Source organism: Homo sapiens, chromosome 2 (genome assembly GCF_000001405.40).
Source record: "Homo sapiens chromosome 2, GRCh38.p14 Primary Assembly".
In the NCBI taxonomy this organism is placed as follows: Eukaryota; Metazoa; Chordata; class Mammalia; order Primates; family Hominidae; genus Homo; species Homo sapiens.
Genome location: NC_000002.12, coordinates 202,325,947 through 202,341,958, shown reverse-complemented (window position 1 = coordinate 202,341,958; position 16,012 = coordinate 202,325,947). Strand labels below are relative to the sequence as shown.

General features: G+C 46.1%; 2 pseudogenes; one reads left to right on the top strand and one right to left on the bottom strand.

Annotated features, from left to right (window-relative positions):
• PIMREGP1 (PIMREG pseudogene 1) lies at window positions 5,164-6,656 on the top strand (annotated as a pseudogene).
• RN7SL753P (RNA, 7SL, cytoplasmic 753, pseudogene) lies at window positions 8,231-8,520 on the bottom strand (annotated as a pseudogene).

Sequence of the window (16,012 nt, the reverse complement as noted above, 5' to 3'; positions counted from 1 at the left end):
GGTTCACGCCATTCTCCCGGCTCAGCCTGCCCAGTAGCTGGGACTACAGGCGCCTGCCACCATGACTGGCTAATTTTTTGTATTTTTAGTAGAGACGGGGTTTCACCGTGTTAGCCAGGATGGTCTTGATCTCCTGACCTCATGATCTGCCCGCCTCGGCCTCCCAAAGTGCTGGGATTACAGGGGTGAGCCACCGCGCCTGGCCAAGAACTGTTATCTATCCACCAAACAAAGACTGGAGTTTGTAGTAAAGTTTACTCCACAGAAACGAGGCAAGTAAAGGAGATACTTTTAAATAAGAAAGCATATCTGATGCTCTTCAAATCACATTGCTGAGCACTGTTCCTACATAATCCTTGCCTGGAATCCTCTGGCTCTTCTATAGGGATAAATTAGGATGTTCAGGACAAAAAGCTTTATTATTATTATTATTATTTTTTTTGAGACAGAGTTTTGCTCTTGTTGCCCAGGCTGGAGTGCAATGGCATGATCTTGGCTCATTGCAACCTCCGCTTCCCGGGTTCAAGCGATTCTTGTGCCTCAGCCTCCGGAGTAGCTGGGATTACAGGCATGCGCCACTGCGCCTGGCTAATTTTGTATTTTTTTAGTAGAGACAGGGTTTCTCCATGTTGGTCAGGCTGGTCTCGAACTCCCGATCTCAGATGATCCACCCACCTAGGCCTCCCAAAGTACTGGGATTACAGGCGTGAGCCACCACACCTGGCCTATTATTTATTTGTCTATTTATTTGAGACAGGGTCTCACTCTGTCGCCCAGGCTGGAGTGCAATGGCAAGATCTCGGCCCGCTGCAACCTCCATCTCCTGAGTTCAAGTGATTCTCCTGCCTAGCCTCCTGAGTAGCTGGGAGTATTGGCACGCACCACTACGCCCAAGTAATTTTTGTGTTTTGTTTTTTTTTTTTTTTGAGACAGAGTTTTGCTCTTGTTGCCCAGGCTGGAGTGCAATAGCGCGATCTCGGCTCACCTCAACCTCCGCCTCCCAGGTTCAAGCAATTCTCCTGCCTCAGCCTCCCAAATAGCTGGGATTACAGGGATGTGCCACTGCGCCCAGCTAATTTTGTATTTTTAGTAGAGATGGGGTTTCTCCATGTTGGTCAGGCAAGTCTCGAACTCCTGACATCAAGTGATCCGTTCGCCTTGGCCTCGGCCTCCCATAGTGCTGAGATTACAGGTGTGAGCCATGGCATTCGGCCTAATTTTTGTATTTTTAGTAGAGATGGGGTTTCACCATGTTGGCCAGGCTGGTCTCAAACTTCTGACCTTAAGTGATCCACCTGCCTCGGCCTCCCAAAGTGCTGGGATTACAGGTGGGAGCCACCATTCCTGGCCCCAAAACTTTAATATCTAAACATTCTCTTTTTGCTGGAGGTTCCAGTGAGATCACACCACTGCACTCCAGCCTGGGCAACAGATCAAGACTCTGTCTCAAAAAAAAATTAAAAAATAAGCCGGGCGAGGTGGCTCACGCCTGTGTTGGCAGGCGCCTGTAGTCCCAGCACTTTTAGGAGGCCAAGGCAGGCAGATCATGAGGTCAGGAGATCGAGACCATCCTGGCTAACATGGTAAAACCCCGTCTCTACTAAAAATACAAAAATTAGCTGGGCGTGCTGGCACGTACCTGTATTCCCAGCTACTTGGGAGGCTGAGGCAGGAGAATTGCTTGAACCCAGGAGGTGGAGGTTGAAGTGAGCTGAGATCGCGCCACTGCACTCTAGCCTGACGACAGAGCGAGACTCTGTCTCAAAAACAAAACAAAACAAAACAAAACAAAAATTAACTAGGTGTGGTGGTGCACACCTGTAATCCAGCTACTTGGGAGGCTAAAGCAGGAGAATTGCTTGAACCCAGGAGGCATAGATTGCAGAGAGCCGAGATCGCACTACTGCACTCCAGCCTGGCGACAGAGTGAGATTCCGTCTCAAAAACAAAAACAAAAACAAAAAAACCCCAGAAAATTTATATACTCTTAAGTATATATATATATATATATATAGACTATATATAGAGAGGGTCCTAAATTGGTTGTCTCCTCCACTAGAAGGCAATCTTCATAAGTAAAGGCACTTGGTTCATTTTGTTCACTGTTGCATTTGCATCATATAGAATAGTTCCTGGCATAGGTCCTTAGTAAATATTTGCAGAATGAATCACGAATTAAGAGCTCTGTAGATTGGATGTCTATAGCTTTTGCACAGCCTTAGCTTCTCTGCAAATACTAAGAGTCAGATAGCCCCATGCACCAGGGGACCAGAGGTTGGGAGACTACTGGGTGAGTGCAAAAGTGGAGCACGTGGAGAAAAGGCTGCAAGGACAATGAAGGCCAATTGCAAGCTAATATGTTAGTCTGTCATTGTTTCATGGATCCTGGCAATAGTCATGACACTCCTTGGTCAGAGACAGAGGAATTTATTATTCATGGCACAGCAAATAGCATGTGTCAGCCTATTTGCAATGGTTTCCCTTGCCCTCAAATTCTAATGGGGCAACCCAATGAGCCCAGATGACATATGTATCTGCAGTGGTTTGCATTACAGGAGAGGAATCCTGGGCCAAGGGCTTAGCACTTTTTGAGCAAGCAGCAAATGAGCCAATCCCCACTCCCTCTAGGGAGCAAGCAGTTACAGGTAATTACAGTAGTTGCCTTGGCCTAGTTATATCTGTGTGAGTAGCTATAGACATTGCTCAGTATCAGGAGCCTGAAAGTCTTATGGATTGGCCTACTCAGCAAGAGAGTGCAGGCATGTTCAGGGCCCATGGTGGAGTGCCCTCTCAGCACAAGGCAGCTGAGTTATCAGCGAAGGAGGATGACATTGAATGTTGCCAGCTTGACACATGCTCACTAGACTCCAAATCCTAGCTAAGAGAAGCATTTAGCAGATACAATATTCAACCTTCCGCAGGCATCATTCAGCACACAGGTTTGAATGATCAAATTGCGGAGAAGTGTGGAAAGTAAAGAGTCTGGCCCAGCATAGTGGCTCATGCCTGTAATCTCAGCAATCTGGGAGGCTGAGATGGGAGGATCACCTGAGGTCAGAAGTTTGAGACCAGCCTAGGCAACATAATAAGACCCCATCTCTATAAAAAATACAAAAATTAGCCCACCTATTCGGGAGGCTGAGGTGGGAGGACAGCTTGCGCCTGGGAGGTTGACGCTGCACTGAGCTATGACGGCGCCACTGCACTCCAGCCTGGGCGACAGAGCAAGACACTGTCGAAAGAAAGAAAAGGAAAGAAAGGAAGAAAGAGGGAAAGAAAGAAAGGGAAAGACAGAGAGAAACAAGAAAGAAAGAAAGAAAGAAAGAAAGAAAGAAAGAAAGAAAGAAAGAAAGAAAGAGAAAAGAGAGAGAAAGGAAAGAAAGAAAAGAAAGAAGAAAGAAAGAAAGAAAGAGGGAAATAAAGCGAAAGAAAAACAAAGAAAAAGGAGGGAGGGAGGGAAGGAAGGAAAGAAGAAAGAACTTCATAGAGGTTGCTTGCCGTAGTAAAAAATGTACTATATGGCAGAGTTGTGTGGCAAAGCTTACAATGACTCTAGGGCTTTGCATCAGTCATGAATGGCTACCAAGGGAAAATTGAGATGTCCTCAACCGTGGCCTTACCCCTGCAGCCTTTCGACATGATAAGAGTGCCCAGTCCTGGGGATAGAAGGCTGGGTTTCTGTCTAGCTCTACTGCTAACATGTTCTGGAACTTCGAGGCAATCTTTTAAGTTTATTGGACAGAATTATCCCTGGATTAGGATAATTCTGGCTGCAGCTGCCTATGTGTGATTTATTATTCCTTTTAGGACTTCTTGGTTCACACTGATATGATTCTGTCTGATAAAAATAGTGCTGAAGTCATCCTGTGTATAGTAGGTTTAGAGAAAGATAAATTTTTTGCAAGGTGGGATCTCTCATTTGAGTTTCCCTTTATTTTTCAGAAAGAATGAATTTTTAAAGCCCCACAATCTTCTACACTGCTCCACCACTCCATCCTTAGCCCATGAGGTGCTTTTAGGCCTCATTCCCCTTGGGGACAGACTTATCTCTGAGGACTTGATTAGCAGATCTGTAAAAGAGAGATAATATTTGTCCTGCTGACTTCACGTGGTTAGAGTGAGAATCACAGGAAATTTAATTAAAGAAAATTAGAGGCAGGGCGCGGTGGCTCACGCCTGTAATCCCAGCTGTCAGGGAGGCAGAGGCCGGAGGATAGCTTGAGCCCAGGAGTTTGAGACCTGCCTGGGCAATATAGCGAGACCCCGTTCTCCACAAAAAGGAAGAAAAAAAAAGACAAAACAAAAAAGAAAATTAGAACTGTAACTGCCTTTAGCTACCATCTAGGCCCACCCTGCATTTTACAGATAATGAAACTAAGGCCCAACCAGTGTGGTGGCACACATCTGTAGTCCCAGCTACTCAGGATGCTGAGGCAGGAGAACTGCTTGAAGGACAAAGGCTTTTTTCCAACTGTGGTTCCACCCTTTTGTTTGTCCCTTTCTTTGTCCTCTCCATTCAGCAAGAGAAGGGATGGCCAAAGAGTGAGGATTGTGCTTGAGAGGTTTTTATGGACCTAGAAGTGGTGCCCATCACTCTTGCTCACATTCCACGGGCCAGAACAGTCACATGGTCATACCTAACTGCACTGGAGGCTGGAAGAGGGACTCTGGCTGTAGGCCAGGAAGAAGAAAAGAACACAGTCACTGGTGAGCACCGACAGTCTTCACCACATATAAAACAATCATGTGATGCCAACATTAGCTAAGTCAGAATTTATTTATTTTTTCTTTGGAATTCCTTCAGCAATTACATACCCTCTATATCATAATTTTGTCACATTAAATTGTATATTGCCTTAGATTTAGGTCTTCTGCCTCCATTTTTACATCATAAGCAGGGATCATTCTTCAGCTGCTTTGGTTTTTACCACAATGCAGGCTATAAGGTAGGCACTATAAGTAAATTTAAAAATCATGCTGAATTATTTCAGTAAAGACTTAGGAAGCTGGAATTTGCAAACCTTTACAGTCTGGAAACAAGCTTGGTTTAGTTGCTATGGCACAAATTAATGATTTAAATATATACAAGGATGTTTATAATCACACAAAAAAACAGTAGAAAGGGAGTTAAATATCCATTAAATGTATATAGTGGGGCAGCTATGCTCGGGGTGTGATTGGCGTTGGTTGTGTCGGGGTCTAGTGGGCAGAGAAGACTCTTGGCCAGGCAGATGGCTTCTTGGTGGCAGAGAATGGGGACCTCCGTGCACCGGAGATGTCTCCAGCACCAGGAGCAGCTGGAGGATGCAAGGAGCTGCAGCCCGTGACCAGCCATCAGGAGAACTCCGCGGGTCCCTGGGGTCCCTGTGCAGACAGTTCCAATGGAGGCTGCCTCTGAGAGCCATCAACCTCAACTTCCGTGCAGGCCCTTCCTGCAAATGCTTGGAAACCCCAGAGCCAGGGCAGCAGGGCCTCCAGGCTACGGCTCACTCAGCTAAGAGTGCCTTGGGTGCCATGTCCCAGAGAATCCAGGAGTCCTGCCAAAGTGGCACCAAGTGGCTGGTGGAGACCCAGGTGAAGGCCAGGAGGAGGAAGAGACGGGCACAGAAGGGCAGTGGCTCCCCAGCTCACAGCCTGAGCCAGAAGAGCACCCGGCTATCTGGAGATGCCCCTGCCCACTCAGCCCACAGACCCCTGGGAGAAGGAGCATAACTGCCTCTCCGCCCGGATAGGCTCCCATGCCTACCCATTATGACAGTCGATGCAGGAGGCTGCCTTCTGGAGCCCCTACTCCTCAACAGAGCCACTCTGCTCTCCCAGCCAGTCTGGCAGTGACCTAGAGCCTATGGGGGTGGGAATTCAGCATCTCCAGAAGCTGTCCCAAGAGCTAGATGAAGCCATTATGGCGGAAGAGAGTGGTGACATCATCTCTCTCATTCATGGCTGAGTAAGTGGCCTGCAGGAAACAAGCCTTGTCTGATTGCCAAGGCTTCATACCCAAGGATGTCTGTGCTTCCCCATGAGCTTCCTGGAGGAAGCCCCCAGGAGTCATCAGTACCCCTGGGCCACTGCTAACAAGGACCTGACTAACAAGGAGCCCAGAGCCCCCTGGCTCTGGCCACATCTGGATCCATCAGTGACTGCCTGCCATAGCCTGAGAGTGTCTTGGGGAGACCTTGCAGAGGTGGGGAGAATTGTTCCTTCCACTTTCCCAGGGGACTCTTGAGCTTAGAAACTCATCATACACTTGACCTTGAGCCTTGTATTTGCCTCATCTACAACGTGAAGTGCTAGCATCAGATGTTAGAGAGCTCTTAGCTGTGTACCCAGGTGCCTGGTTGTTGGGGAGTCATCTGCAGAGTCACTCACCCACTGTGTTTCCGGTGCCAAGGCTCTTGGGGGCCCCACTCTCATCCCTGCTTTCCCTACCAGGGACTCGTAGGAAGGCATAGGAGATATTTCCAGGCTTAAGACCCTGGGCTCACGGGTACCTATGTATATGCTAAATGCAGAGCACTGTGGGTGTGCCTGTTCAAGAACAATTTTTGCTCTTTGTAAATTATTTAAGAAACCTGCTTTGTCATTTTATTAGAAAGAAACCAGCATGTGACTTTCCTAGATAACACTGTTTTCTCATAATAAAGACTGTTTGCATTAAAAAAAAATGTATATAGTGACGTGGGAAAGCTCTAACAATATATTGGTAAGTGGGCCGGGCACGGTGGTTCATGCCTGTAATCCCAGCACTTTGGGAGGCCAAGGCGGGTGGATCATGGGTCAGGAGTTCGAGACCAGCCTGGCCAACATGGTGAAACCCTGCCTCTACTAAAAATACAAAAATTAGCCAGGCATGGTGGTGGGCGCCGGTAATCCCAGCTACTCGGGAGGCTGAAGCAGAGAATTGCTGGAACCCAGGAGGCAGAGATTGCAGTGAGCGGAGATCGCGCCACTGCACTCCAGCCTGGGTGACAGAGCAAGACTCCATCAAAAAAAAAATTTATATATATATATGTATGTATACGTATTTACATATACATACATATATACACATACATATATACATTTTATATACAAATATATATTTTATATACATATATATGTATGTATACATATATTTGTATACATATATTTATATGTTATATATGTATATATTATATACATATATTTATAAAATATATATGTATGTGTATATATGTATATGTATATACGTATATGTATATACATGTATATATGTATGTGTATATATGTATGTGTGTGTGTGTGTGTGTGTGTGTGTGTGTGTGTGCCTCAGGATGCTGAGGCAGGAGAATTGCTTGAACCCGGGAGGCAAAGGAAGAGGTTGCAGTGAGCCGAGATCTTGTCATTGCACTCCAGCCTGGGCAACAAGAGTGAAACTCTGTCTCAAAAATATACATATATATGTAAGTGATATGCAGAGTCACACACACTAGAAAGGAGAAACGTATAGCAAAGTATTAATAGTAATTATCGGCCGGGTGTGGTGACTCATGCCTGTGATCCCAACACTTTGGGAGGCTGAGGCAGGATAATCGCTTGAACCCAGGAGTTTGAGACCAGCCTGAGCAACATAGTGAGACATCATCTCTACAAAAAGAAAAAAGGAAAAAGAAAAAAAAATTAGCTAGGCATGGTGGCATGCACCTGTAGTCCAAGCTACTCAGAAGGCTGAGGGCAGAGGATTGCTTGAGCCTGGGATGTCAAAGTTGCAGTGAGCTGAGATTATGCCACTGCACTCCAGCCTGGAGTCAAAAACAAAAGCAATTAACGGCCAGCCAGGGTGTCTCACGCCTGTAATCCCAGCACTTTGGGAGGCCAAGATGGGTGGATCACCTGAGGTCAGGAGTTCAAGACCAGCCTGACCAACATGGTGAAACCCCGTCTCTACTAACAATACAAAAATTAGCCAGGTGTGGTGGCACATGCCTGTAGTCCCAGCTACTCAGGAGGCTGAGACAGGACAATCGCTTGAACCCAGGAGTCGCAGGTTGTAGTGAGCCGAGATCGTGCCACTGCACTCCAGCCTGGGCGACAGAGCAAGACTCAGTCTCAAACAAACAAACAAACAAAGTAATTATCACTGCATAATGAGATTATGGATACTTCCTTCCTTCCTCCCCACTTTGCTTCCCCTCCCCGCCCCTCCTCTTCCATTCCTTTCTTTTTCTTCCTTTCTTCTCTCTCTCTCTCTCTCTCTTTCTCTCTTTCTTTCACAGGGTCTCACTATGTTGCCCAGGGTGGAGTGCAGTGGCTATTCACGGGCATGATCCCACTCTTGATCAACACAAGAGTTTTGACCTGCTCTGTTTCCAATCTGTGTTCACCACTCCTTAGGCAACCTGGTGGTCCCCCGCTCCTGGGAGGTCACCATACTGATGCTGAACTTAGTGCAGACATCCAACAGACATAGCATACTACAGTATAAACTCCTAGGCTCAAATGATCCTCCTGCCTCAGCCTCTTTAGTAGCTGGGATTACAGATGAGTACCATCATGCCTGGCAATTTCTCCTATTTTTTATCTGAATTTTCCTACAATGAATCCAGATTATAAGTGTAAATTTTTTTTTGAGACAGGGTCTTGCTCTGTTGCCCAGGCTGGAGTGCAGTGGCATGATCACAGCTCACTGGCCTCTACCTTCTGGGCTCAAGAGATCCTCCCACCTCAGTCTCCTGAGTAGCTAGGACTACAGGCGCATGCCACCACAGCTGGCTGATTTTTGTATGTTTTTGTAGAGACGAGGTCGCACTATGTTACTCAGGCTGCTGTTGAACTCCTGAGCTCAAGTGATCTTCCTGCCTTGTCCTCCCAAAGTGCTAGGATTACTGTTGTGAGCCACCTCGCCTGGCACAAATGTAATTTTTTTTTTTTTTTTTTTTGAGACGGAGTCTTACTCTGTTGCCCAGGCTGGATTGCAGTGGCACGATCTCGGCTCATTGCAAGCTCCGCCTCCTGGGTTCACGCCATTCTCCTGCCTCAGCTTCCCGAGTAGCTGGGACTACAGGTGCCTGGCACAACGCCCAGTTAATTTTTTTGTATTTTTAGTAAAGATGGGGTTTCACCATGTTCGCCAGGATGGTCTGATCTCCTGACTTCGTGATCCACCCGCCTCGGCCTCCCAAAGTGCTGGGATTACAGGTGTGAGCCACCACACCCGGCCCACAAACGTAAATTTTTTAACAAGTAAAATAATCGAGGTAATTAAAGGTAAATCATAACTCATTATAATGGCACAATCAGATCAGGGAAACATTATGTTTTAAAATGACATCTTGGCAACTGGGTGCGGTGGCTCACGCCTGTAATCTCAGCACTTTGGGAAGCTGAGGCGGGCGGATCACCTGAGGTCAGGAGTTCGAGGCCAGCCTGGCCAACATGGTGAAACCCCGTCTCTACTAAAAATATAAAAATTAGTTGGGATAACAGGTGCCTGCCACCTGTTGGCTGTTATACCAGCTACTCGGGAGGCTGAGGCAGGAGAATCACTTGAACCTGGGAGGCGGAGGTTGCAGTGAGCTGGGATCATGCCACTGCACTCCAGCCTGGGTGACAGACTGAGATTCTGTCTCAAAAAAACTAAAAAAATAAAATGACATATTTTCTGGAATCACTGGAGGATTGCCACTGGAGGATGCCAAGTGCATGTATGTAATGTTTTTTGGGGTTTTGTTTTTTGCTTTTTTGTTAGAGATGAGGTCTTGCTATGTTGCCCAGCCTAGTCGTGAACTCCTAGTCTCAAGGACTCCTCCTGCCTTGGCCTCCCAAAGTGCTGGGATTACAGGCATGAGACACCGAGTGCAGCCCCATGTATGTAACATTAAAAATAAAGTGCCTCCAAAGATAAGTGATTATCTTTCATTTGTATGTTTTTAACATTTTACAAGAATGTGTGCATGTCAAAGAGATGCAAGGACCAACTTGAAAGAGCTCCCGATGGCCAAAACTGGATCAATTTGAATAACAAAATAAACAACATAGTATTGGATTATAACCCGAAGTATCAAATGAGTACAGTTGTCCCTTGGTATTCACTGGGGATTGGTTCCAGGACCCCCAAGGATACCAAAATCTAAGGACGCTGAAGTCCCTGAAATAAAATGGTGTAGTATTTGCATATAACCTATGCACATGCTCTTCTATACCTTAAATCATCTATATGTTAATTATAATACAGAATACAATGTGAATGCTATGTAAATAGTATTTATACTGTATTATTTTAAAAATGCATGTTAGTTGGCCTGCACGGTGGCTCACGCCTGTAATCCCAGCACTTTGGGAGGCCGAGGCGGGTGGATCGCAAGGTCAGGAGATTGAGACTATCCTAGCTAACATGGTGAAACCCCGTCTCTACTAAAAATACAAAAAATTAGCCGGATGTGGTGGTGGGCGCCTGTAGTCCCAGCTACTCGGGAGGCTGAGGCAGGAGAATGGTGTCAACCCAGGAGGCAGAGCTTGCAGTGAGCCAAGATTGTGCCACTGCACTCCAGCCTGGGCAACAGAGCGAGACGCCGTCTCAAAAAAAAAATTCATATTAGTTTTATTTTTTTTTTATATTTTTATTATACTTTAAGTTTTAGGGTACATGTGCACAACATGCAGGTTTGTTACATATGTATACATGTGCCATGTTGGTGTGCTGCACCCATTAATTTTTTTTATTTTTTTTATTATACTTTAAGTTCTAGGGTACATGTGCACAATGTGCAGGTTTGTTACATATCTATACATGTGCCATGTTGGTGTGATGCACCCAATAATATTTTTTTTGAGATGGAGTTTCACTCTTGTTGCCCAGACTGGAGTGCAATGGCATGATCTTGGCTCAGCGCAACCTCTGCCTCCTGGGTTCAAGCAATTATCCTGCCTCAGCCTCACATAGCTTGGATTACAGGCATGTGCCACCATGCCCGGCTAATTTTGTATTTTTAGTAGAGACAGGGTTTCTCCATGTTGGTCAGGCTGGTCTCAAACTCCCGACCTCAGGTGATCCTCCCACCTCGGCCTCCCAGAGTACTGGGATTACAGGCGTGAGCCACTGCGCCCGGCAAAAATGCATATTAGTTTTAAATGTCACATTGTTTTTTTCATTTTCTGGGTTTTTTTATTTTTTATTTTTTTTGATTCGTGGTTGGTTGAATCTATGGATACAAAACCCATCCATAGATACCGAGAGCTGACTATAAACATGAGTTCAGGCTGATATAAATACATTAATGAATAAAAATTATTATTTTATTTTATTTTATTTTATTTTATTTTTTGAGACTAGGTCTTACTCTGTCACCCAGGTGGCACAATCTCAGCTCACTGCAACCTCAGCCTCCTGGGCTCAAGTAATTCTCCAGCCTCCTGTGTAGCCAGGACTACAGGCACAAGCCACCAATGCCCAGCTAATTTTTGTACTTTTTAAAATAGAGGCAGGGGTCTCGCCATGTTGCCCAGGCTGGTCTCAAACTCCTGAGCTCAAAGCCACTCACCTGCCTTGGCCTCCCAAAGTGCTGGCATTACAGGTGTGAGGCACTGTGCCCAGCCATTAATGAATAAAAATTAATCGAGAAGAAGAAACTACTCTTTCAGACAGAATAACCCCATTTAATATATGTAGATCTGGCTGGGTGCAGTGGCTCACACCTGTAATCCCAGCACTTCGGGAGGCCGAGGTGGGCGGATCACCTGAGGTCAGGAGTTCGAGACCAGCCTGGTCAACATGGTGAAACCCCATCTCTACTAAAAATACAAAAATTAGCCAGGCCTGATGGTGCGTGCCGGTAGTCTCAGCTACTTGGGAGGCTGAGACAGGAGAATCACTTGAACCTGGGAGGTGGAGGTTGCAGCGAGCCGCAATCGCACCATTACACTCCAGCGTGGGTAACAGAGTGAGACTCCATTTCCAAAAAAATAAAAAAATAAAAAAATGTAGATACTCCCGCTGGGCACGGTGGCTCATGCCTGTAATCCTGGCACTTTGGAAGGCTGAGGTGGGAGGATCGCTTGAGCTCAGGAGTTGGAGATCAGCCTGGCCAACATGGTGAAACCCCTTCTCTACTAAAAACATAAAAAAATAGCCTGTGTGATGCATGCCTGCAGTCCCAGCTACTTCAGAGGCTGAGGCAAGAGGACTGTTTGAGCCCCGGAGGTGGAGGTTGCAATGAGCTGAGATCAGGCCACTGCACTCCAGCCTGGGTGACAGAACAAGACCTTGTCTGAATTTTAAAATAATAACAGTAATAATGTCTGTAAATACTCCCTTTTCCAGGAAATGAACTTAATTCCCTCCCAATTCCCTTTCTACCTTTTTGAGGGTAGACTAGACTTAGGGGGAGTTGCTTCCAAAGAACAGATTACAGAAAAGGAGAAACAGTAACTTTACAATGGAGAAAGCTGGCAAACCCTGCCTTAACCAATCAGTGAAGGTTAACATTACCAGTGATGCCATGTGTATGTCATCTACCCTGATATGATGAGAAGGGCTCTTCAGCTCTGAGGTGTTCTTTCTGAAAACCCATAATCCCAATCTACATGTGAGGAAAACACCAGACAATCCAAATTTGAGGGACATTTTACAAAGTATCTGACCAGACATGATGACTAAATGTAACGTGGTATCCTGGATGGAATCTGGAACAGAAAAAGGGTCATTAGGGAAAAACTATCTGAGCAAAGTGCCAAGTTTAGTTAATAGTAACAGAACAATGAATGGAATCAAATGTACCATAGTAATATGTTAACAAGAGAAAATGAACAAGAGCTATATGGAACTTTCTGTACTATCTTTGCATCGTTTCTGTAAATCTAGTATTATTCCAAAATAAAAAGATTATTTAAATAATTCTTTTTTTTTTTTTCCCGAGACGGAGTTTCGCTCTTGTTGCCCAGGCTGGAGTGCAATGGCGCGATCTCGGCTCACAGCAACCTCCGCCTCCCGGGTTCAAGCCATTCTCCTGCCTCAGCCTCCAGAGTAGATGGGATTACAGGCATGCACCACCACATGCGGCTAATTTTGTATTTTTAGTAGAGACGGGGTTTCTCCATGTTGGTCAGGCTGGTCTCGAACTCCAGACCTCAGGTGATCTGCCCGCCTTGGCCTTCCAAAGTGCTGGGATTACAGGTGTGAGCCACCGTGCTCGGCAATTTAAATAATTCTTATAGAAAATGGGAGAAAAGGTAATTATTTGGAGGGAGCCGCAGGGTAAAATGCATTTTTTTTTTTTTTGAGATGGTCTCGCTCTGTCACCCAGGCTGGTGTGCAGTGGCATGATCTCAGCTCAGTGCAATCTCTGCCTTCTGGGTTCAAGCGATTGCCCTGCCTCAGCCTCCTGAGTAGCTGGGACTGCAGGCACCTGCCACCACACCCAGCTAATTTTTGTATTTTTAGTAGAAATGGGGTTTTACCACATTGGCCAAGCTGGTCTCAAACCCATGACATCAAGTGATCTGCCTGCCTCGGCCTCCCAAAGTGGGATTACAGGCGTGAGCCACCATGCCTGGCCTAAAATGCACTTTTGAGTAAATTATTCCTCCTTGAAAGTGGTCCTAACAAGAGATACAGAGGCCATGAGGCTGAGGTCCCCTGGGAAAGGATCTCTTAATTTTATAAACTGTGTTTTAGGGCAAAACATATTGGCATTTGGTCTGTGAAATCTAGGCTAAGCATTGATGAGGAGATTTTTAGAATGCTCGCATAAGCAACCTAAGGGCCTGCCTGTCCTTGCCTGCGGCTTTATTTATGTCTTTCTTTTCTGAGAGAAGGTGGGATTTGACATCTGAAGGAACATTTTCCCACTGATTTCTCATGCTAGCCTGGGGCCTCCCAGAACCAGGAGGGTGAGCCTTCACATGGCTCTGGATTTGGGGAGGGCCAGCAGGCACATGATTATGCAGACAGAGCTTTCTGCACTTTCCCTTCCTCCACTTGGCAGCACAAGGACAAAGTGCTGAAGATAAAAGGCTTCCATTAATACCAAACCACTGGAAGTCAAAGAGATTTTTTTAGCTATGGTTAGGTCACAGCCACAATTTCTCTTTTCCTTCCTTCCTTTCTTTTTTCTTTCAAGCATGTTTGTGAATCAAAGTCAGGATTTTGACTCCCCTGGGCTATTTTCCAGTCCATACTCTAGGAGTGCAGCAAAGATTCAGACGCAGTTTTAATGGTTTCCAAGGATGAGGAGAAGCAAAGGTGTTCATCCCTGGCAGCTTCTTTTCCAGCTTCCAGGGAAGGGAGGGACATAAAGAAGTAAGAGAAACTCTCCAATGCACCATCATTGTTCCATACTTCATAGACATTTACTTTCTTCATTCATCATTTTATTTTTATTTTTTTGGGGGGATGGAGTTTCACTCTTGTTGCCCAGGCTGGAATGCAACGGTGCAATCTCTGCTCACTGCAACCTCCACCTCCTGTGTTCAAGTGATTCTCCTGCCTCAGCCTCCTGAGTAGCTGGGATTACAGGCACCCGCCACCATGCCAGGCTAATTTTTGTATTTTCAGTAGAGACAGGGTTTCACCATGTTGACCAGGCCAGTCTCAAACTCCTGGCCTGGTGATCCGCCCGCCTCGGACTCCCAAAGTGCTGGGATTACAGGCATGAGCCACCGCGCCCGGCCCATTCATCATTTAAGGAGCTATCTCCACTGCGCATGAGGGACTCACCCAACTCTTTTTTTTTTTTTGAGACAGAATCTCACTCTGTTGCCTAGGCTGGAGTGCAGTGGCTGCGATCTCTGCTCACTGCAACCTCCGCCTCCCACGTTCAAGCAATTCTCCTACCTCAGCCTTCCAAGTAGCTGGCATTACAGGCACACACCACCGTGCCCAGCTAATTTTTGTATTTTTAGTAGAGACAGGGGTTTCACCATGTTGGCCAGGCCGGTCTCGAACTCCTGACCTCAGGTGATCCGCCTGCCTCAGCCTCCCAAAGTATTGGGATTACAGGCATGAGCCACCACGCTGGCCCCAGACTCACCCACTCTTAACACGTGGAGCTCATCAGCACTGGTCCGCTTCCTTCACTAATATACTCTCTGTTCACAGTCTCCTTCCTTGTTTGTTTATGACTTCAGAAACGATTTATTGAGCATGTCTTTTTTTTTTTTTTTGAGACAGTTTTCACTTGTTGCTCAGGCTGGAGTGCGGTGGTGCGATCTCAGCTCACTGCAACCTCTGTCCCCCTGGGTTCAAGCGACTCTCATGCCTCAGCCTCCAGAGTAGCTGGGACTACAGGCGCCTGCCACCACACCAGGCTAATTTTGTATTTTTTAGTAGAAACAGGGTTTCACCATGTTGGGCAGAGTGGTCTTCAACTCCTGACCTCAGGGAAATCCTACTGCGTTGGCCTCCCAAAGTGCTGGGATTACAGGCATGAGCCACTGCGCCCGGCCCTGAGCATGTCCTCTTATACTGAATGAGGTGCAGGAGATGGGATGATGCAGAAGAGGAAATAGATCCTGCTCTTGATTGAGGGTGATGCATAAGACCACACAGATCCTGCTCTTGGAGGTTTACCGTCTACCGGAGGAGGCAGACATGGGTAAATAATTGGTATGCTGAAAAGTTTTGGATAGAGAGATGGGGCAACGTTAGAATGATGGCTGGGGAGGGCTCCTTTGAGGAAGTAATACAAGTACTCCAACCTGAATGACAAGGAATGAACCCTGTGAATTGGAAGAAGAGTATTTCAGACAGAGGGAGACAGAAGTCCTAAGGCCTGGAGCCAAGAATGAGCTTAAAGTGCTCCAGAATCAGAAAGAAAATCTGTGTGGCTGGAAGGCTGTGATCAAAGAACAGAATGAAAGGAGATGAGGCCAAAGAGATAAATAAAAATAAGCAGGCTGCATATTTCAGGGATGTTGTAGGCCCTAATGAGGAGTTTTCATTTTAGTGTCATGGGAAGACATTGATGAGTTGCAACCAGGGAACTAACATGATTGATTACTTTTTTTTGGAGTGGTAACTTTTCCCATATACCCTTTACTCAAATTCACCAACTGTTTA